The sequence below is a fragment of the Homo sapiens genome, chromosome 19 (genome assembly GCF_000001405.40).
Source record: "Homo sapiens chromosome 19, GRCh38.p14 Primary Assembly".
In the NCBI taxonomy this organism is placed as follows: Eukaryota; Metazoa; Chordata; class Mammalia; order Primates; family Hominidae; genus Homo; species Homo sapiens.
Window position 1 is genome coordinate 16,662,333 of NC_000019.10, and position 21,677 is coordinate 16,684,009.

Here is a 21,677-nt window from a genome sequence, read left to right on the forward strand (position 1 = left end):
AAGGAAAAAAAGAGAATTACTGTCAACATACTGGTGGCCAGCCACCTTTCTTGATGTCTCTTCTATTCATTTACGGCTATATAGTTATAAACGTAAATGCACGCTTTTTTTTTTTTTTTTTTTTTTGCGGTTTTTTTTTTAGATGGAGTTTCGCTCTGTCGCCCAGGCTGGAGTGCAGTGGCGTGATCTCGGCTCACTGCAACCTCCACCTTCCAGGTTCAAGCGATTCTCCTGCCTCAGCCTTCTGAGTAGCTGGGACTACAGGCACCCGCCACTACACTTGGCTAATTTTTGTATTTTTAGTAGAGACAAGCCTTCACCATGTTGGCCAGGATAGTCTCGATCTCCTGACCTTGTGATCCACCCACCTAGGCCTCCCAAAGTGCTGGGATTACAGACGTGAGCCACTGCACCCAGCCAATGCACGCTCTTATGCTAACAGGATTACACTCTATTTGCTAGGAATTTTTATTCTATTTTTGCCTATCCACATGCCAGAGCCTATTTTCTTAAAAGCTATCCTGGAGAACATTACTTTGCAAAACAAAATAGGCTTTTGTGTTGTCCTAGCATGAACATGGGGCTATCTTTCCTTTCTGGGGAAGAATTCTTGGTGGTTCAGGCCAGTTCCTTGGGCAGTTGCAGAACCTTAGAAAATCTGAAACTGGCTGGGCACAGTGGCTCACGCCTGTAATCCCAGCACTTTGGGAGGCCAAGACGGGCAGATCGCCTGAGGTCAGGAGTTCGAGACCAGCCTGGCCAACATGGAGAAACCCCGTCTCTACTGAAAATAAAAAAATTAGCCAGGCATGGTGGCACATGCTTGTAATCCTAGCTGCTTGGGAGGCTGAGGCAGGAGAATCACTTGAACCTGGGAGGCGGAGGTTGCAGTGAGCCGAGATCACGCCATTGCACTCCAGCCTGGGCGACAGAGCAAGACTCTGTCTCGAAAAAAAAAAAAATCTGAAACTGAGGAGGGTTGGAGCCCTGTGGGAATGTAGGACACAAATGTCTTGAGAAAAGAGGTCTCCAAGCTGCCTGGGAACTTGCAGGAAGGTTCAAGATATTTCTGCAGAAGTCCTAGAATAAGCCATCCAGGCTCTAAGTGCCAGAGCCTGAAGGTTCCTGAAGGCTGAGAAGTGGTTCCAAACCCTGGCTATTCATGAATTCATGAGACGCTCCTGGGAGCTTTTTTTCTTTTCTTTTTTTTTTTTGAAACGGAGTCTCGCTCTGTCGCCCAGGCTGGAGTGCGGTGGCGCCGCCTCTGCTCACTGCAAGCTCCGCCTCCTGGGTTCACACCATTCTCCTGCCTCAGCCTCCCAAGTAGCTGGGACTACAGGCGCCCACCACCATGCCCGGCTAATTTTTTTTTTTTTTGTATTTTTAGTAGAGACAGGGTTTCACCGTATTAGCCAGGATGGTCTCGATTTCCTGACCTTGTGATCCGCCTGCCTCGGCCTCCCAAAGTGCTGGGATTACAGGTGTGAGCCACTGCGCCCGGCCTCCTAGGAGCTTTTAAACCCCCTATCTCCACCCCCCACCAATTGAATCAGAATATTAATCTCCCCTCCCTCAGTGACTGATGTCTGTTATCAGGGCTGAGGATACTCCACCCAGTTCAACCTCCTCCTTTCATAACTGGGGAAACAGGAAATAGTGGCTAAGCTATCTTAAATACACAATGAGCCTGTGGTCCCATGGCTGGTCAGTTGCAGCCTCGGGACTCAGCCCAGGTCTGCTTGACTCTAAGAATCAGTACAATTGATGTGAGATTGGTTTCCTTAGAAAAGAAAGGTGTTGGAGGCCAGATGTGATGGCTTATGCCTGTAATCCCAGCACTTTGGGAGGCGAGGCGGGTGGATCACTTGAGCCCAGGACTTTGAAACCAGCCTGGGCAACATGACAAAACCCCGTCTCCACTACAAATGCAAAAAAATAGCCAGGTGTGGTGGCGCACGCCTGTAATCCCAGGTACTTGGGAGGCTGAGACATGAGAATAGCTTGAATCCAGGAGACGGAGGTTGCAGTGAGCCGAAATCTCGCTGCTGCACTCCAGCCTGGGTGACAGAGCCTGGCTGAGACTCTGTCTTGGAAAAAAGAAAGAAAGAAAAGAAAAGTGAGGTGTCGGATTGAACTGTTAGTCCCAGTTTGGTGTGCGTGCTGGGTATCTGTAAATTTTCTTCTCAGAATTTGTGTGCTGGACCAGCTACAGAATTTGCCAGGCCGATACAAAGTATCAGTGTGGGGCCTTTTGTTCAGAAATTAAGAATTTCATAGCCAGGCATGGTGGTGTGTGTCTGTGGTCCCAGCTACTTGGGAAGCTGAGGCTGGAGGATCACTTGAGCCCAGGAGTTGGAGCTCAACTGCGCCTGGCTGGGTCAGGCTTTCTTGAGAATCCTGAGAATGGATGAAGCTCAGAGTGTGGTCCTCAACAGAGCAGCATCAATGTTGCCTGGGAGCTGCAGCGAGCTATGATCACCCCACCGCCCTCCAGCCTGGGCAACAGAGCAAGACCGTGTCTCCTAAAAAAATAATAATAATAATAAAAAAAGAATGTCAGCATAGGTCAGATAATCTCAGCATTTGGGGAGGTCAAGGTTGGAAGATTGCTTGAGGCCAGGAGTTCATGGCCAGCCTGGGCAACATTGTGAAACCCCTTCTCTATAAAAAATACAAAAATGGCTAGGCGCGGTGTCTCATGCCTGTAATCCGAGCACTTTGGGAGGCTGAGGTGGGCAGATCACCTGAGGTCGGGAGTTCAAGACCAGCCTGACCTACATGGAGAAACCCTGTCTCTACTAAAAATACAAAATTAGCCGGACGTGGTGGCACATGCCTGTAATCCCAGCTACTAGGGAGGCTGAGGCAGGAGAATCGCTTGAACCTGGGAGGCAGAGGTTGCGGTGAGCCAAGATTGTGCCATTCCACTCCAGCCTGGGCAACAAGAATGAAACTCCGTCTCAATAAACAAATAAATAAAAATTAAAAAATGCAAAATACAAAAATATTAGCCAGGTGTGGTGGCATGTGCCTGTAGTCCTAGCTACTAGGGAAGCTGAGGTCGGAGGATTACCTGAACCCTGCAAGGTGGAGGCTGCAGTGAGCCATGATCGTGCCACTGCACTCCAGCCTGGGCAACAGAGTGAGACCCTGTCTCAAAAAAAAAAGAAAAAAGAAACTAAACGTCTCTGAATCATGGGAGTCAGTTCTACCACTAGCACTGAGTAAACACCACAATGGTTATTTCACCACCATGAGCTTCAGTTTATTTGTCTGTGAAATGGGATCATTGGTAAGAGAACCCCAGACTCCCTTTCCTAGCGATTGTAAAGATCTATTGAGAATTTTGTCAGGGATAAGGTCTAAGGCATTTGTGAGGGGTGGTGATGTTTATTTGGAAGTCTAGGGAGGAATATATTACTTGGGATACTGGCATTTTCTGGGTCAGGCTTGCTTACTTTTCTGTTTCTTTTCTTTTCCTTTTTTTTTTTTTTGAGATGCAGTCTTGTTTTGCTGCCCAGGCTGGAGTGCAGTGGCACGATCTCAGCTCACTGCAACCTTCACCTCCCAGATTCAAGTGATTCTCCTGCCTTAGCCTCCTAAGTACCTGGGATTACAAGCATCCACCACCACACCCAGCTAATTTTTTTGTTTTGTTTTGTTTTTGGAGACGGAGTCTTGCCGTGTCTCTAGGCTGGAGTGCAGTGGCTCGATCCCGGCTCACTGCAACCTCCACCTGCCGGGTTCAAGCGATTCTCCTGCCTCAGCCTCCCGAGAAGCTGGGATTACAGACACGCGCCACCATGCCCAGCTAATTTTTGTATTTTTAGTAGAAACGGGGTTTCACCACGTTGGCCAGGATGGTTTCAATCTCTTGACCTCGTGATCCGCCCACCTTGGCCTCCCAAAGTGCTGGGATTACAGACATCAGCCATTGCGCCTGGCCCATTTTTTTTGTATTTTTAGTAGAGATGAGTTTTCACCATGTTGGTCAGGGTGGTCTCAAATTCCTGAACTCAAGTAATCCACCCGCCTCAGCCTCCCAAAGTGCTGAAATTACAGGTGTGAGCCACTGCTCTTGGCCAATTTAACTTTAAAAAAATTTTTTTTTTTCGAGACAGGGTCTTGCTCTGTCTCCCAGGCTGGAGTGCAGTAGTACAGTCATAGCTCACTGTGGCCTCCAACTCCTGGGCTCAAGCAATCCTCCCACCTCAGCTTCCCATGAGCAACTGTGCCTGGCTGGGTGAGGCTTTCTTGAGAATCCTGAGAAAGAATGAAGCTCAGAGTGTGGTCCTCAACTGAGCAGTGTCAATGTCACCTGGAAGCTGATTAGAAATGCAGAGCCCCTGCGGTGGCTCATGCCTATAGTCCCAGCACTTTGGGAAGCCAAGGTGGCTGGATCACAAAGTCAGGAGTTTGAGATCAGCCAGGCCAACATGGTGAAACCCCGTCTCTACTAAAAATACAAAAACTAGCCAGGCATGGTGGCGGGCTCCTGTAATCCCAGCTACTTGGGTGGCTGAGGAAGGAGAATCGCTTGAAACCAGAAGATGGAGGTTGCAGTGAGCTGAGATCGCACCACTGCACTCCAGCCTGGGCAAAAGAGCGAAACTCCATCTCAAAAAAAAAAAAAAGAAAAGAAATGCAGAGTTCTGGCCAAGCTCAGTGGCTCACACTTGTAATCCTAACACTTTGGGAGGCCGAGGCGGGCGGATCACCCGAGGTCAGAAGTTCGAGACCAGCCTGGCCAACATGGCGAAACCCTGTCTCTTCTAAAAATACAAAAATTAGCCAGTCATGGTGGCACACGCCTGTAATCCCAGCTGCTCAGGAGGCTGAGGCAGGAGAATCACTTGAACCAGGGAGGTGGAGGTTGCAGTGAGCCGAGATTGCGCCATTGCACTCCAGCCTGGGCAACAAGAGCCAAGAGTGAAACTCCATTTCAGGAAAAAAAAAAAGAGAAAGAAATGCAGAACCCAGGCCCCACCCAGCTCTGCCCAATGAGAGTCTGTATTTGAGCAAAATCTGCGGGTGATTTGGCTCATTTCTGGGGCCTCCAAGCTCCATGTGAGGAAAGAGAAGGAAGCAGTTGAGTGCTGGCTGCAAAACTGAAGAAATGAGTGAATCAATGACAATCCTGGTTGCCTTGAGCCTTGACCCATCCAAAGAATCTCTCAGACCAGTACTTCTCAAACTCACCTACACACCAGACTCACCTAGGGAGATTTTAAAAATCCTTTTGGGCCAGACGTGGTGGCTCATGCCTGTAATCCCAGCACTTTGGGAGGCCAAGGCGGGTGGATCACTTGAGGTCAGGATCGAGACCAGCCCGGCCAACATGGTGAAAGCCCGTCTCTACTAAGAAAAAATACAAAAATTAGCCACGCATGGTGGTGTGCACCTGTAATCCCAGCTACTTGGGAGGCTGAGGCACAAGTATTGCTTGAACGCGGGAGGTGGAGGTTTGCATTGAGCCAAGATCTTGCCACTGCACTCCAGTCTGGGTGACAGAGCAAGACTCCGTCTCAGAAAAAAAAAAAAAAAAATCCTTTTGTCCTGATTGTCACCCCTCTTTCATTTAAATCAGAATTGTGGGTCAGGCATGGTGGCTCACGCCTGTAATCCCAGCACTTTGGGAGGCTGAGGCTGGTGGATCACCTGAAGTCAGAAGTTTGAGACCAGCCTGACCAACATGGTGAAACCCTGTCTCTACTAAAAATACAAAAATTAGCCAGGCGTGATGGCGGGCGCCTGTAGTCCTGGCTACTTGGTAGGTCGAGGTGGGAGAATCACTTAAACCTGCGAGGCGGAGGTTGCAGTGAGCAGAGATCATGCCATTGCACTCCAACCTGGGCAACAGAGCAAGACTCTGTCTCAGAAAAATAAATAATAAATAATAAATTAATTAAATAAATAACTCAGAATCATGGGGCTGAAGGAGGTGGCTCACATCTGTAATCCCAGCAAGTTGGGACACCAAGGCAGGCAGATCACTTGAAGCCAGGCGTTGGAGACCAGCCTGGCCAACACAGTGAAACCCTGTCTCTACTAAAAATATAAAAATTAGTCAGGCATGGTGGCGCAAGCCTGTAATGCCAGCTACTCCGGAGGCTGAGGCACGAGAATTGCTTGAACCTGGGGGGAGGCGGAGGTTGCAGTGACTCTGTCTCAAAAAAAAAAAAAAAAAAAAGAGATGGGGGTTCTGTTGTGTTGCCCAGGGTGGTCTTGAACTCCTGGGCTCAGGAGATCCACCTGCCTTGGCTTCCCAAAGTGTTGGGATTACAGACATGAGCCACTGCACCCGGCCAACCACTGATCTTTCTTTCTACTACCTCCAGAGTTTTGCCTTTTCCAGAATGTCCTTTAGTTGGAATCATGCAGTATGTACCCCTTTCAGACTGGCTTCTTTCACTTAGGAATATGCATTTAAGGTTCCTCCATGTCTTTTCATGTCTTGATAGCTCACTGGATAATATTTCTTTCTTTTTTCTTTTTCTTTCTTTTTTTTTTTTTTGAAATGGACTTTGCTCTTGTTACCCAGGCTGGAGTGCAATGGTTTGATCTTGGCTCACTGCAACCTCTGCCTCCCAGGTTCAAGTGATTCTCCTGTGTCAGCCTCCTAAGCAGCTAGGATTACAAGCATGTGCCACCACGCCTGGCTAATTTTTTGTATTTTTAGTAGAGATGGGGTTTCTCCATGTTGGCCAGGCTGGTCTCGAACTCCCGACCTCAGGTGATCTGCCCGCCTTGGCCTCCCAAAGTGTTGGGATTACAGGCGTGAGCCACTGCACCCGGCCAAATAGTATTTCATAGTAAGGATGTTTCATGGTTTGTTTATCCACTCACTCCCTGCAGGACATCTTGGTTGCAGTTTTAACTTTTTTTTTTTTTTTTTGAGACGGAGTCACTCTGTTGCCAGGCTGGAGTGCAGTGGTGTGATCTCGGCTCACTGCAACCTCCGGCTCACTGGTTCAAGCAATTCTCCTGCCTCAGCCTCCTGAGTAGCTAGGATTACAGGTGCCCGCCACCATGCCCAGCTAATTTTTGTGTTTTTAGTAGAGACAGGGTTTCACCATGTTGGCCAGGCTAGTCTTGAACTCCTGACCTCAAGTGATCCACCCGCCTCAGCCTCCCAAAGTGCTGGGATTACAGGTGTGAGCCACCACACCCAGACAAGTTTTAACATTTTTCATATGCTGTTAGGACCAAAGAAAACCATTCTTTGATCCCTGATTTGAGATCTCTGGTTTGAACTACAAGCTTTTTGAGGGCAGGAGGCTGTTGACTCCTGCTCCACCTTGTGAGGGAGAGGCTGCTATCTCCATTTAACAGGGGAGGAAACTGAGGCAGAATGCTGAGCTCAAAAGCTCAGGAGGAGAAGACTGGTCCTAGAGTCACTGAGAGACTCGGTCAGTACCCCATGCTTCATACACCTCTGACTGAATAGCACAGTGCTAGAGTGCCCTGGGGACCCTTCTAGTACCACCCAGTCATCTGCAAATGAGGCATTGACCCCTGAAAAGGGAAAGTCACAGAGTCCATTGCAGACCAGGACTTAGGGACCCAAAGCTTTTTCCTCTCTTCTGAGGCAGAGCTGATTTTTTTCTGTTTGTTTATTTATTTATTTATTTTTATTTTATTATTTTATTTTTTTGAGACAGAGTTTCGCTATTATCGCCCAGGTTGGAGTGCAGTGGCGCGATCTCAGCTCACCGCAACCTCCGCCTCATGGGTTCAAGCGATTCTCCTGCCTCAGCCTCCCGAGTAGCTGGGACTACAGGTGCCTGTCACCACGCCCAGCTGATTTTTGTATTTTTAATAGAGATGGGGTTTCATTCTATTGGCCAGGCTGATCTCGAATTCCTGACCTTGTGATCCACCCGCCTCGGTCTCCCAAAGTGCTGGGATTACAGGCATCAGCCACTGCGCCCGGCCTGTTTTTTGTTTTTTTTTTTTTTTGAGACAGAGTTTTGCTCCTATTTCCCAGGTTGGAGTGCAGTGGCATGATCTCGACTCACTGCAACCTCCGCCTCCCAGGTTCAAGCGATTCTCCTGCCTCAGCTGCCGGAGTAGCTGGGATTACAGGCATGAGCTACCGTGCCCAGCCGAGGCAGAGCTGATTTTTAAAAAATCCATCTACTGAAATTTCCACCCACAGGTACTTTCCATTTCCGCACTGTTCCAGAAATACCTCTTGCGTCGTTGCTAGGCGCTAAGCAATCTCTTTTTCACCCTCACAGGCATCTTTGGAAATGACTGATATAGATCTGGTGTGGTCACCTTGTCCAGGCTTTCCCAAGATGAGCATCGAAAGTCCCATGTCCAGCCGGGTGCGGGGGCTCATGCCTGTAATCCCAGCACTCTGGGAGGCCGAGGAAGGTGGATCACCTGAGGTCAGGAGTTTGAGACCAGCCTGGCCAACATGGAGAAATCCCATCTCTACTAAAAATACAAAAGTTAGCCGGGCCTGGTGGCGGGTGCCTGTAATCCCAGGTACTCGGGAGGCTGAGGCAGGAGAATCACTTGAACCCGGGAGGTGGAGGTTGCATCAAGCCAAGATCGCACCACTACACTCCAGCCTGGGCGACAGAGCAAGACCCCATCTCAAAAAAAGAATAAAAGAAAGTCCCATGTCCCAGGAAACCCCTGGGACCCAGGCAAAGGGGGATAGTTGGTCACCCTAGACCGCCTCCCCCTCCTACATATGGGCAAACTGAGGCCCAGGGAAGGGAGGGACTAGCCTAAGCTCACCCAGTCAGAGGGGAATGTGTTCATGGCATGCGGCAGTTGAAAACCTATTGGCTTCATGGGGCTGTCCCAAACCCATCAAGAGAAACCAAGGAGTATGGAAAGGGGAAAGGACCTGGGCTTTTTTTTTTTTTTTTTTTTTTGAGGCGGAGTCTCACTCTGTCACTCAGGCTGGAGTGCAGTGGCACGATCTTGGCTCACTGCAATTTCCGCCTCCTGGGTTCAAGCAATTCTGCCTCAGCCTCCTGAGTAGCTGGGATTATAGCCATCCGCCACCATACCCAGCTAATTTTTGTATTTTTAGTGGAGACGGGGTTTCACCATGTTGGCCAGGCTGGTCTCAAACTCAAACTCCTGACCTCAAGTGATCCACCTGCCTCGGCCTCCCAGAATGCTGGGATTACAGGTGTGAGCCACTGCGCCTGGCCGTCATCTTGGTCTTTTGACAGTGAAGCAAACTAAGGCTTGGGGGGGCAGGCAGTCACTTGCCCAAGGCCATGCTAGAGTGAGTAGCAGAGCCAGAAGCTAGGCATGTGATGAGGTTTTGCCATGTTGCCCAGGCTGGTCTTGAACTCCTGAGCTCAAGTGATCTGCCTGCCTTGGCCTCCGAAAGTGCTGGGATTACGGGTGTGAGCCACCGCGCCCAGCCGGCATGTGACTTTTATAGCAGGGCACACACATACTGCAAACATGGGCATCTGCCCGTCAGAGCGTAACTCATGCAAACGCTAGGTCCCTACCCCCACTCCCCAACCTCGGTCCCTGGGATGATCCCAGAGGGCACAAGAAAGATCCTGGAAAGAATTCAGTCCCTGGGAGTTATTTTTAGATGCAGAGGTATCCATTTCTGCAAAACATGGGTGCCTCACCCGACCTGGCCTCTGCACAGGCCACCAGCTGCTCTGAGGGATTAACTCTCAGCCAGTTGTGTTTTAAATAGACCCTAGGAGAGGAGCTGAAGCATTTTACCTCATACCCTAGGACCTTGGTCAATGGTAAGACGTAGGACAACCTTGAGAGCAGGGAGAAGCTGCATTTTGGGCTCATAACTCCAGGGTGAGGTTAGAGGAGGGAAAAGCTCATTCCAGTCCTCATCAGGAGTTAGACAAAGAAGCAACGTTCTACTTTGTTTTTTAAAAAAAGAGATGTGGAGAGAAAAAAGTGGCTTGTTCAAGATCACATTGTTAGTTGGTGGGGATAGCGAGGAGAGGGGCAAGTGTATTGATTACTTACTCTAAAACAGGGATGTCCAATCTTTTGGCTTCCCTGGGCCATGTTTGATGAAGAATTATCTTGGGCCTCACATAAAATACACTCACACTAACGATAGCTGATGAGCTTAAAAAAAAATCACAAAAAAACCTCATTTTTTTTTTTTTTTTTTTTGAGGCAGAGTCTTGCTCTGTGGCCCAGGCTGGAGTGCAGTGGTGTGACCTTGGCTCACTGCAACCTCCACCTCCTGAATTCAAGTGATTCTCATGTCTCAGCTTCCCAAGTAGCTGAGATTACAGGCGCATGCCACCACGCCCGGCTACTTTTTGTATTTTTAGTAGAGATGGGGGTTTCACCATGTTGGCTAGGCTGGTCTCGAACTCCTGACCTCAAGTGATCCACCTGCCTTGGCCTCCCAAAGTGTTGAGATTACAGGTGTGAGCCACTGAGCCCGGCCATAAGTGTATCATTTTGCAGCCCAACCTTTTCACTCAGCAGTAAGCTTATGGGACTTGTCTTTGTTGATACATCTAAAACAGAGATTCTCAACCAGAAGGGATTCTGTTCCCAAAGGATAAATTTGGCAATATCTGGAGACATTCTTGGTTGTCACAGCTGTGTGGTGCCACTGTCATCTAGTGGGTGGAAGCCAGGGATGCTGCTTAACATGCTATAATGCACAGAATGCCCCCATAGCAAAAAATGATCTGATCCCAAATGTCAACAGAGCTGAGGTTGAAAAACCCTGATCAAGGTCTAGTTCACTTTTCTTTTTCTTTTTGTTTGTTTGTTTGTTTGTTTGTTTCTGAGATGGAGCCTCCCTCTGTCGCCCAGGCTGGAGTGCAGTGGCGCAATCTTGGCTCACTGCAACCTCCACCTCCCGGGTTCAAGCGATTCTCCTACCTCAGCCCCCTGAGTAGCTGGGATTACAGGCACCTGCCACCATGCCTGGCTAATTTTTGTATTTTTAGTAAAGACAGCGTTTCACCATGTCGGCCAGGCTGGTCTCAAACTCCTGACCTCAAGTGATCCGCCTGCCTTGGCCTCCCAAAGTGCTGGGTGAGCCACTGCACCCAGCCTGGTTCACTTTTAAATAGCTACTCTATGGCACTCCACATTTTGTGGCTTCCCACAGCTTTACTAAGAGACTGTTGATTTCACTTTTCTCCTGTTGCAACATTGTATCAGTGAAACATCTTCCTTCTCTAAGTCTTTGTTTATGGTGCTTGTTTCTTTGGGGTTAATAGCAAGGAGTGGAATTGCTGGGGTCCAGGGGATGCACAGCTTCATATTTCCCTGGTATTGCCAAGTTGCCTCTAACATGGTAATGCCCACTGATGCGCTCACCTGGATTTGTAGGAGAAACTCTGGCATTGATGATTATTTCCCCCTGTGAGGTTGACCAAGCTAAGAAGAACGTAATTCCTTTTACAGAGTAGAGTGCACTACACCTTTCTCAATTAATAAATGGAACAGAGAAGGTCATTGTTGTTACAATGTCACCAGAAATGCGCAGGCCTGCTGGTGGCTCACACCTGAAATCCCAGCACTTTGGGAGGCCAAGGCAGGAGGATCATTTGAAGCCAGGAGTTCAAGAGCAGCCTGGGCCACACAGTGAGATCCTATCTTTACAAAAAAAGAAAAAAAAAAAAGTATAAAAATTGGCCAGGCATGGTGGCACACGTCTGTACTCCTAGCTACTTGGAAGGCTCAAGCCCAGGAGTTTGAGGCTGCAGTGAGCTATGATTGCATCACTGCACTCCAGCCTGGGTGACAGAGCGAGATGCTGTCTCTTAAAAAAAGTGTCCAGGGCCAGGCGCTGTGGTTCATGCCTGTAATCCCAGCACTTTGGGAGGCCAAGGTGGGTGGATCACCTGAGGTCAGGAGTTCGAGACCAGTTTGGCCAACTTGGAGAAACCCCCTGTCTACTAAAACTACAAAACTTAGCTAGGCGTGGTGGCAGGTGCCTGTAATCCCAGCTACTTGGGAGGCTGAGGCAGGAGAATCACTTGAACCTAGGAGGAGGCGGAGATTGCAGTGAGCCGAGATCACACCACTGCACTCCAGCCTGGGCGACAGAGCAAAACTCTTGTCTCCAAAAAAAAAAAAAAAAAAAGTTGGGGGGATCCAACACAACCATGATGACTTTATGTTTGCTAGAATGTAAATTCCATGAGGGCAGGGACCTCACCTGTCTTGTTCATTATTGTAATACCAGGACCCAAGGCCGGGCGCCGTGGCTCACACCTATAATCCCAGCACTTTGGGAGGCTGAGGTGGGCAGATCACCTGAGGTCGGGAGTTTGAGACCAGCCTGACCAACATGGAGAAAACTTGTCTCTACTAAAAATACAAAATTAGCCGGGCGTGGTGGTCCATGCCTGTAATCCTAGCTAGTCGGGAGGCTGAGGCAGGAGGATTGCTTAAACCCAGGAGGCAGAGGTTGCAGTGAGCCAAGATCGCGCCATTGAACTCCAGCCTGCGCAACAAGAGCGAAACACCGTCTCAAACAAACAACAACAACAAAAAAAAACCAGGACCCAGAGGGATGCACATTTCCCATAAATTCATTCACAGTTATTTCTTGAACCCATACAATGTGTCCAACACAGCCCCCATTCAGTGGCAGAGAAGGCCTCCGTGGTTGCTGAACTCACGGAGGGATGAAGATCAAATCCACCCGTTGAATGTATCATTAGTATATACAGATTTCTTAATCTGTTGCAGATGCTATAATCTGTTGCAGTGGCAATAAACCAGTAGACCAGGTGGCTGATAAACAACAAATTTATTTCTCAGAGTTCTGGAGGCTGGAAGTCTGAGATCAGGGCACTAACATGGTCAAGTTCTAATGAGGGCCCTCTTCTGGCTTGCAGATGATCAACCTCTCCTTGTGTCCTCATATGGTAGACAGCAGAGAGCAGCAGGCTTTCTCATGACTCTTATTTGTTTATTTATTGAGATAGAGTCTTGCTCTGTCACCCAGGCTGGAGTGCAGTGCCTTGATCACGGCTCACTGCAGCCTCAACCTTCCAGGCTCAAGTGGTCCTCCCACCTCAGAAGTAGCTGGGAATACAGACACCTGCCATCACGCCCAGCTAATTTTTATTGTTGTTGTTGTTTTAGAGATGAGATTTCACTATGTTCCCAGGGCTGGTCTGGAACTCCTAGGCTCAAGAGATCCTCTGGCCTCAGCCTCCCAAAGTGCTGGGATTACAGGTGTGAGTCACCACGCCTGGCCTCTCTTGACTATTTTTTTTTTTTTTTTTTTTTAGAGACAGAGTCTCACTCTGTCGCCCAGGCTGGAGTGCAATGGTGCAATCTCAGCTCACTGCAACCTCTGCCTCCCGGGTTGAAGCGATTCTCCTACCTCTGCCTCCCTAGTAGCTGGGACTACAGGCGCCTCCCGCAACGCCCAGCTAATTTTTGTATTTCTAGTAGAGACAGGGTTTCACCATATTGGCCAGGCTGGTCTCGAACTCCTGACCTTGTCATCTGCCCGCCTCAGCCTCCCAAAGTGCTGGGATGACAGGCGTGAGCCACCATTTATAAAGGCTCTAACCCCGTTCGTGAGGGGTCTACCCTGGTGACATAATCACCTCCCAAAGGCCCGACCTCCTAATGCTATCACAAGCGGGGAGGGGTAGGATTTCAACATACGAATTTTGGAGAGACAGAAACATTCTGTCCACAACAGACACTCTTTCTCTTCCCTGCTAAAAATAGACAAAACTGATTATTTCTTTTGCTTAGTCTTTTGATTTGACTAATAAGAGATCACATTTTGGCCGGGCGCGGTGGCTCACACCTGTAATCCCAGCACTTTGTGAGGCCGAGGCAGGCGGATCACGAGGTCAGGAGATTGAGACCATCTTGGCTAACACAGTGAAACCCCGTCTCTACTAAAATTACAAAAAATTGGGCGTGCTGGCGGGTGCCTGTAGTCCCAGCTACTAGGGAGGCTGAGGCAGGAGAATGGCATGAACCTGTGAGGCGGAGCTTGCAGTGATCTGAGATTGCGCCACTGCACTCCAGCCTGCGGGACAGAGCGAGACTCCATCTCAAACAAAAAAAGAGAGAGATTACATTTTGTGACCTTGTTATCTCATGTCAATACTGACTGTAGTTTTCATTTCATTAGAATAAGTTGTATTAGGGGAATCGTTGGTTTTGGCTCTGGTCATGTAATGTACAGAGTAGCTGTACCTTACAACTTGATCATAAAGTTGTTCTCTGCAAAACGAAACTAGTTGGGAAAGACAGAATCAATATGATGAAAGAAGTGGTCATACCAGGAGACACAAGTTCTAACTCCAAGGTGTGGCCTTAGAAGATTACGAAGATACAACATAAGGATAGAACTATTTATAAAGATTATAAAGGCTTTACATGAGTAATACAAGATGCAAGGATTTAGTGAATAGACATTAATACTGTACCCCGAGTGTTGCATTTTCATGACCTTTTTTTTTTTTTTTTTTTTTGAGAGGTAGTCTCGCTGTTGTTGGCCTGGGCTGGAGGGCAATGGCACGATCTCAGCTCACTGCAACCTCTGCCTCCTAGGTTCCAGCAATTCTCTTGACTCAGCCTCCCGAGTAGCTGAGATTAAAGGCGCCCACCACCACGCCTGGCTAATTTTTGTATTTTTAGTAGAGATGAGGTTTCACCATGTTGGCCAGGCTGGTCTTGAACTCCTGACCTCAGGTGATCCACCCACCTCGCCCTCCCAAAGTGCTGGGATTACAGGCATGAGCCACCGTGCCCAGCCCTTTTTTTAAAAAGAAAAAAAAAAAAAAAGCCCAGCTATAGGACCTAAGGACTCAGCAATGGGGTTTTCAAGCCCCCTTCTTTTTAATATGGAATTTTAAAATACTTCTTATCTTGGAAGAGTTTATGACTCACAAGAAGTTGCAAAAATGGTACAGAGAATTTGCAAATACCCTTTACCCAGCTTCCTCCAATGACATCTTATGTAATGATAGTGCATTATTAAAACCAGGAAATTGGCATGGGTACACTATCATTAACTCAACTACAGACTTTATATATTTATTATTTTTGAGACAGAGTCTCATTCTGTCACCCAGGCTGGAGTGCAGTGGTGCACTCATGGCTTACTGCAGCCTCAAACTCTTGGGTTCAAGTGATCCTCCCAACTCAACCTCTTGAGTAGCTGGGACTACAGGTGCATGCCACCATGCCCAGCTAATTAGAAAAAATTTTTTGTAGAGATGGGGTCTCACTGTGTTGCCCAGGCTGGCCTCCCCTCCCCTTCCCTCCCTTCCCCTCCCCTCTCAACAGGGTCTTGCTCTGGAGTGCAGTGGCATGCTCATGACTCACTGCAGCCTCCACCTCACCAGCTCAAGTGATCTTCCTACCTCAGCTTCCCGAGTAGCTGGGACTACAGAAGCATGCCACCACGCCCAGCTAATTTTTAAAATTTTTTGCAGAGGTGGGGTCTCACTATGTTGCCCATGTTGGTCTCGAACACCCAGGCTCAAGTGATCTACGTGGCTCAGCCTCCCAGAGTGTTGGGATTACAAGTGTGAGCCACCGTGCCCAGCCCGGAAATAAAAGCTTAATACATGCTACAATGGGGATGAAGCTTGAGGACATTATGCTCAATAAGCCACACAAAACAACAAAGTTTGTATGGTTTCGCTTACATGAGATTCCTAAAGTCATCAATTTCATAGAGACAGAAAGTAGAATGGTGCCAGGGGCTAGGCGATGGGGGATGAGGAGTGAGTGTTTAATAGGTTTCAGTTTGGGAAGATGAAAGAGTTTTGGAGATGGTTGGTGGTGATTATGGCAAAACAATGTGAATATAATGCCATAGAACCACACACTTGGCCAGCCACTTGGCAGTGGCTCATGCCTGTAATCCCAGCACTTTGGGAGGCCAAGGTGGGCAGATCACAAGGTCAAGAGATTGAGACTATCCTGGCCAACATGGTGAACCCCCATCTCCACTAAAAATACAAAAATTAGTTGGGCGTGGTGGCGCATGCCTGTAATCCCAGCTACTCGGGTGGCTGAGGCAGGAGAATCACTTGAACCCGGGAGGAGGAGGTTGCAGTGAGCCGAGATCGCGCCACCGCGCTCCAGCCTGGTGACAGAGTGAGACTCTGTCTCAAAAAAAAAAAAAAAAAAAAAGAGCTATACACTTAAAAATGTTTAAAATGGGCTGGGCATGGTGTCTCACGTCTATAATCCCAACTCTTTGGGAAGCTGAGCCAGGTGGATGGCTTGAGCCCAGGAGTTTGAGACCAGCCTGGGCAACATGGCGAAACCCCGTGCCTACTTTAAATATACAAAAAATTAGCCTGGCATGGTGGCGCGCGTGCCTGTAGTCCCAAATACTTTCGAGGCTGAGGTGGGAGGAGTGTTTGAGCCCAGGAAGTCAAGGCTGCAGTGAGTCGTGATTGCACCACTGCGCTCCAGGCTGGGTGATGGGAGTGAAACCCTGTGTCCAAAAAAAAAAAAAAAAAAAAAAAGTAAAGTGATAAATTTAATGTATATTTTACAAAAAAAAATTCTTTTTAAGACAGCAGGTGTAAGAATACCAGCATAAGGCTGGGCACGGTGACTCATGCCTGTAATCCCAGCACTTTGGGAGGCTGAGGTGGGAGGTTCACTTGAGTCCAAGAGTTGGAGACCAGCTTGGCCAACATGGTGAAACCCCTTCTCTACTGAAAATACAAAAATTAGCCAGGCATGGTGGTGGCTGCCTGTGATCCCAGCTACTCGGGAGTCTGAGGCAGGAGGATCGCTTGAACCTGGGAGGCAGAATTTGCAATGAGCTGAGATTGCACCATTGCACTCCAGCCTGGGTGACAGAGTGACACTCTGTTTGAAACAAACAAAAAAAGTTAAAAAAAAAAAAAAAAAAGAATACCAGCATAAGCTCATAGGGATCTTGGGATCAGCTGAGGTCAGAATAGCAATTTCTTTTGTTTCGTGTGTGTGTGTGTGTGTGTGTGTGTGTGTGTGTGTGTGTGTGTGTATGTGTGTGTTTTAGATGGAGTCTTGCTCTGTTGCCCAGGCTGGAGTGCAGTGCAGTGGTGCAATCTCAGCTCACTGCAGCCTCCACCTCCTGAGTTCAAGTGATTCTCCTGTCAGCCTCCTGAGTAGCTGGGATTACAGGCATGCACTACCGTTCCCGGCTAATTTTTGTATTTTTAGGGACGGGGTTTCACCATGTTAGCCAGGCTGGTCTTGAACTCCTGACCTCAAGTGATTTGTCCACCTTGGACTCCCAAAGTGCTGGGATTACAGGTGTGAGCCACCATGCCCGGCCCAGAGTAGCAATTTCAAAGTACTCCCAGGTACAAGCTGGCCCGTCTCACCAAGCCTCAGTCTCCTCTTGACAATGAGACTCCTGATAATAAAAGCCATCACTTGGCTGGGACACTGATGAGGATTTATTAAGTCCTAAATGTGAACTAGTGTCATCATCATTGCCACCTCTCTGGGCATGAAGGAAAGGACTCCCACTCGGCTCTCTATTTTCTCTGTGCAACCTCAGGCATGCGTACAGCCTCTCTGAACCTTGGTTCCTCCTCTGAAACTTACAAACTGCACAGTGTTGGGTGGGCGCTCTGGATTAGGATAGGCTGACCAGAGCATATGGGAGTGAAGCCTGCCCTTGGCATGCTGGTGATGATGGGGGACACTCCTGTGCCTCCCAGGAGCAGTCGAACTGTCCCGGCGCCACCCCATCGCGTCCTGGCTGTGCGCCATGCTGCATTGCTTCGGGAGCTACATCCTGGCTGATCTGCTCCTTGGGGAGCCACTGATCGATTACTTCAGCAACAACTCCAGCATCCTGCTGGCCTCAGCTGTCTGGTAAGCCATGCTGGGCATGGGAGAGCAGAGCCGGGTGGGGGAAACAACAACCTGGGCACCAGGGAGGAGAGAGGTTGGAGGAATTAGAATGCACCAGCAACAGCCCTCATGATGGCCCTGAATATGCTGCCCTCCATGCCCATCTCTGGTCTAGGCACAGCACGTTGGGGAGGGTGGTCTGATATAACCACAGCTCCCTACCCCCATCCTTCACAGTCTGCCCATCCCCTGGCACTCACTGTTCTCTCCCCAAAAGGTACTTGATTTTCTTCTGCCCCCTGGACCTCTTCTACAAGTGTGTCTGCTTCCTGCCTGTGAAACTCATCTTCGTGGCCATGAAGGAGGTGGTGCGAGTCCGCAAGATCGCGGTGGGCATCCATCACGCCCATCACCACTACCACCACGGGTGGTTCGTCATGATTGCAACTGGGTGGGTCAAAGGTAAATAGGATGATGACAATGAAAAATCATCCCAGTGGAGAACTTTTGGTTCAGTGGTACTACCAGGCACCCCAGCTAGGAAAGCCATTGCTCCAGGCACAGGGGCATAAAGACTGCAGTAGGTGTTCAAACCTCCCTACAGGTATCAGCCGATACCTTTAGGGTAAATGGGAAGATTCTTCTAGAAATGTTACTGTCAGGGGTACCTAAGACAGTGATGATGATGACAAAAGCCAGCATTGCCAGAGCAGGTTTTCTCACTTGCAGCACTACTGACATGTGGGGCTGGATCATTCTTTGTGGTGGGGGCTGCCTTGTGCACTATAGGATGTTGAACAGCACCCCTGGCCTCCACCCACGAGATGCCAGTAGCACACTTGTCCCCAGCTGTGACAAAGAAATTGTCTCCAGACATTGCTAAACGCCTCCTAGAGGGCAAAATGGCTGCAGGTGAGAACCCCTTCTTCTCTAGAGCTCTAGCTATAGGAGTTCTTAACTTTTGTGGACCATGGCCCTTTTGCCAGTGAAGCCTACAGACCCTTTCGTGTGCAGAAAATAGAGCTAGACATGGTGGCTCATGCCTGTAGTTCTAGCTACTCAGGAGGCTGAGGTGGGAGGATCACTTCAGCCTAGGAGTTCAACATTACAGTGAGCTATGATTGTGCCACTGCACTCCAGCTGGGCAACAGAGCAAGAGTCTGTCTCTAAAAAATTAAAATTAAAAAATAAAGTAATAATGAAAATGTTATTAGAAATAAAGAACGTTTTATAATGATAAAAGGGTCAATCCACCAGGAAGATATAACAACTATAAACATATATGCACCTAGAAACAGAGCACCAAAATACATAAAGCAAAAATGGACAGAAGTTAGGGGAGAAAGAGATAATTCAACATTAAAAGTTGGAGAAGTGGGCCAAGGAGTAACAGGAAAGCAGGGAAAGAAGGCCTGAGCAAGTGCCAAAAACCATTGGGCACTTTATCCTCGCTTCCTGCCCACCAGATATGGGTACCCACAAAGTGCCAAGACCTAGAATCACCCTCCATTGAGCCATGGTGTCCTCAGTTATTCCTTGCTATGGGGAGCCAACCTGTGCATTATACAATGGTGAGCCACCTCCCTGGCCTCGACTCACTAAATACCAGTAGCGCTCCCTCCCCAGCTGTGACAACTCAAAGTGTTTCTCAACATTGCCAGATGCTTCCTTGGGGGCAAAATGGCCCCAGATGCGATTCCCTGGTCCAGTAGTACATCTCAGGCACCCAGTTGGTGCAGCAGTTCCTGGAGTGGATGTCCAAGTCTATTTAACCAGTACATTTAGGGTAAATGGGAAGATTCTTCCAGAAATTTAATCATTCTATCTCCATTTGAGTCTTCTTATTGTCTCTCCAGGAAGCTTTTAGTACTGAGCAGATTCCCCAGGGGTATAGCATCTCCTCCAGAGGATGGGTGGCTTGAGAAAGATTAAGAACTTGGAGCCTTGAGGAGGAGAGAGACTGCGGGTGGGGGCTGCCTTGGAAGCCTCATACACAGCTTGGGGTCCTGGATTAGGGGCATCAGGACAGACAACCCCAGGTTGAAGACCTGCCTTGCAGGTGGGGACATGACTGATTCCTTTAGGTGGCTTTTGCTCTGAATTTGCCATATGATCCTCAGCAAGGCTCTGTCCTCTCTGAGCCTCAGTTTCCCCACCTGCAGCTGATGATCATACACCCCCAGGCTCAGTGTCCTTCTAGAGAAGATTCTGGGAGTGGAGAGACTGCTTCCTTGGGAATTCAAACAAGAGGAAAGGAGACCTGGGGGTGGTGGGCTTGTTCAGAAGCACCCTGTCCTGTAGGTTCTGGTGTCGCCCTCATGTCCAACTTTGAGCAGCTGCTCCGAGGGGTCTGGAAGCCAGAGACCAACGAGATCCTGCACATGTCTTTGTGAGTATCCCACTCCACCTCTCCCTCCATGCCTCCTGTATGTCCGGGTGCCTGACCCTGAGTTGGATGCTGCTGATAACTTAGAGAGGCCTCAACCCTTGACTCTGCCTTTCAGGAGCTTTCAGAGGCTATGACTGGGGAAGCTCAAAGCAGAGCCATAGCTCTGCTCAGTGTGGAGGTTGGGGAGGGCAGAGCTGCAGGAAGGAGGCAATACCTGATTGGGGTTTTGAAGGGTGAGCAGGAGTTCACTGGCCAAGAAGGAGCCTCCCAACAGAGGCCAGCATCTCTGCCAACTGTGAAATCACAGAAGAGCAGCAGTGCTGCTGGGTGTGCGGGGTCAGGGTACAGGGTATGCATGGGATATGGAGTGTGCATTGGGAGCATATCTGGAGCTAAGTGGACAAGGCCAGGTGACAGCATCCAAGACCCAATGCAGGATCCCACACTGCATTTAGCTTAATGTTTTTTATTTTTTTATTTTTTGAGACAGAGTCTTGCTCTGTCGCCCAGGCTTGAGTATGCTGGCATGATCTCGGCTCACTGCAACCTCCACCTCCCAGGTTCAAGAGATTCTCGTGCCTCAGCCTCCTGAGTACCTGGGATTACAGGCATGTGCCACCATGCCCGGCTAATTTTTGTATTTTGAGTAGAGATGGGGTTTCACCATGTTGGTCAGGCTGGTCTGGAACTCCTGACCTCAAGTGATCTGCCGACCTCAGCCTCCCAAAATACCGGGATTACAGGCATGAGCCACCCTGCCCTGGACAGTTTAGTGCATTTTTAAAAGACCTTGTTGGGGGCTGGGTGTGGTGGCTCACACCTGTAATCTCTGCACTTTGGGAGGCCAAGCCTGGAGGTTTGCTTGAGTCCAGGAGTTCAAGACAAGACTGGGCAACATAGTGAGACCTATTCTATATTAAAAAAAAAAAGTTAAATTAGCTAGGCATGGTGGGATGCACTTGTGGTCCCAGCTACTCAGGAGGCTGAGGCAAGAGGATTACTTGAGCCCAGGAATTCGAGGCTTCAGTAAGCTAGGATCATGCCACTGTACTCCAGCTTGGGTGGCAGAGCAAGACCTTGTCTCAAAAAAAAAAAAAAAAAAAGGGATCATGCATTTAAATCACCTGGCCCTGGAACCTGGTGAGTGCTTTGGAAATATTAGAGAGAATTATCATCATTAGGCTGGGCACGGTGGCTCACGCCTGTAATCCCAGCACTTTGGGAGGCTGAGGTGGGCAGATCACCTGAGGTCGGCAGTTTGAGACCAGCCTGACCAACATAGAGAAACCCCATTTCTGCTAAAAATACAAAATTAGCTGGGTGTGGTGGTGCATGCCTGTAATCCCAGCTACTTGGGAGGCTGAGGCAGGAGAACCACTTGAATCTGGGAGGCGGAGGTTGCAGTGAGCCGAGATCACGCTATTGCACTCCAGCCTGGGCAGCAAGAGCGAAATTCCATCTCAAAAAAAAAAAATTAACTAGGGGTGGTGGCATGCCTGTA

The 21,677-nt window shown here is 48.8% G+C and overlaps 1 protein-coding gene across 1 annotated transcript in view, besides 1 other annotated feature; it reads left to right on the top strand.

Moving 5' to 3' along the window:
* Nucleotides 1-21,677, top strand: part of TMEM38A (transmembrane protein 38A) — a 28,885-nt gene that overhangs the window by 1,194 nt on the left and 6,014 nt on the right. The window contains exons 2-4 of the mRNA NM_024074.4: nucleotides 17,652-17,808; nucleotides 18,065-18,249; nucleotides 20,089-20,176. Of these exons, the coding sequence (NP_076979.1) occupies nucleotides 17,652-17,808; nucleotides 18,065-18,249; nucleotides 20,089-20,176 (430 nt within the window). The remainder of the gene's footprint in view (nucleotides 1-17,651; nucleotides 17,809-18,064; nucleotides 18,250-20,088; nucleotides 20,177-21,677) is intronic.
* Nucleotides 17,225-17,725: an enhancer, noted in NCBI's record as "H3K4me1 hESC enhancer chr19:16790368-16790868 (GRCh37/hg19 assembly coordinates)". NCBI's record gives its function as "activates a minimal SCP1, AML or CMV promoter by ChIP-STARR-seq in primed H9 embryonic stem cells {active_cell/tissue: H9 hESC(primed)}" and the evidence as "EXISTENCE:reporter gene assay evidence [ECO:0000049][PMID:30033119]".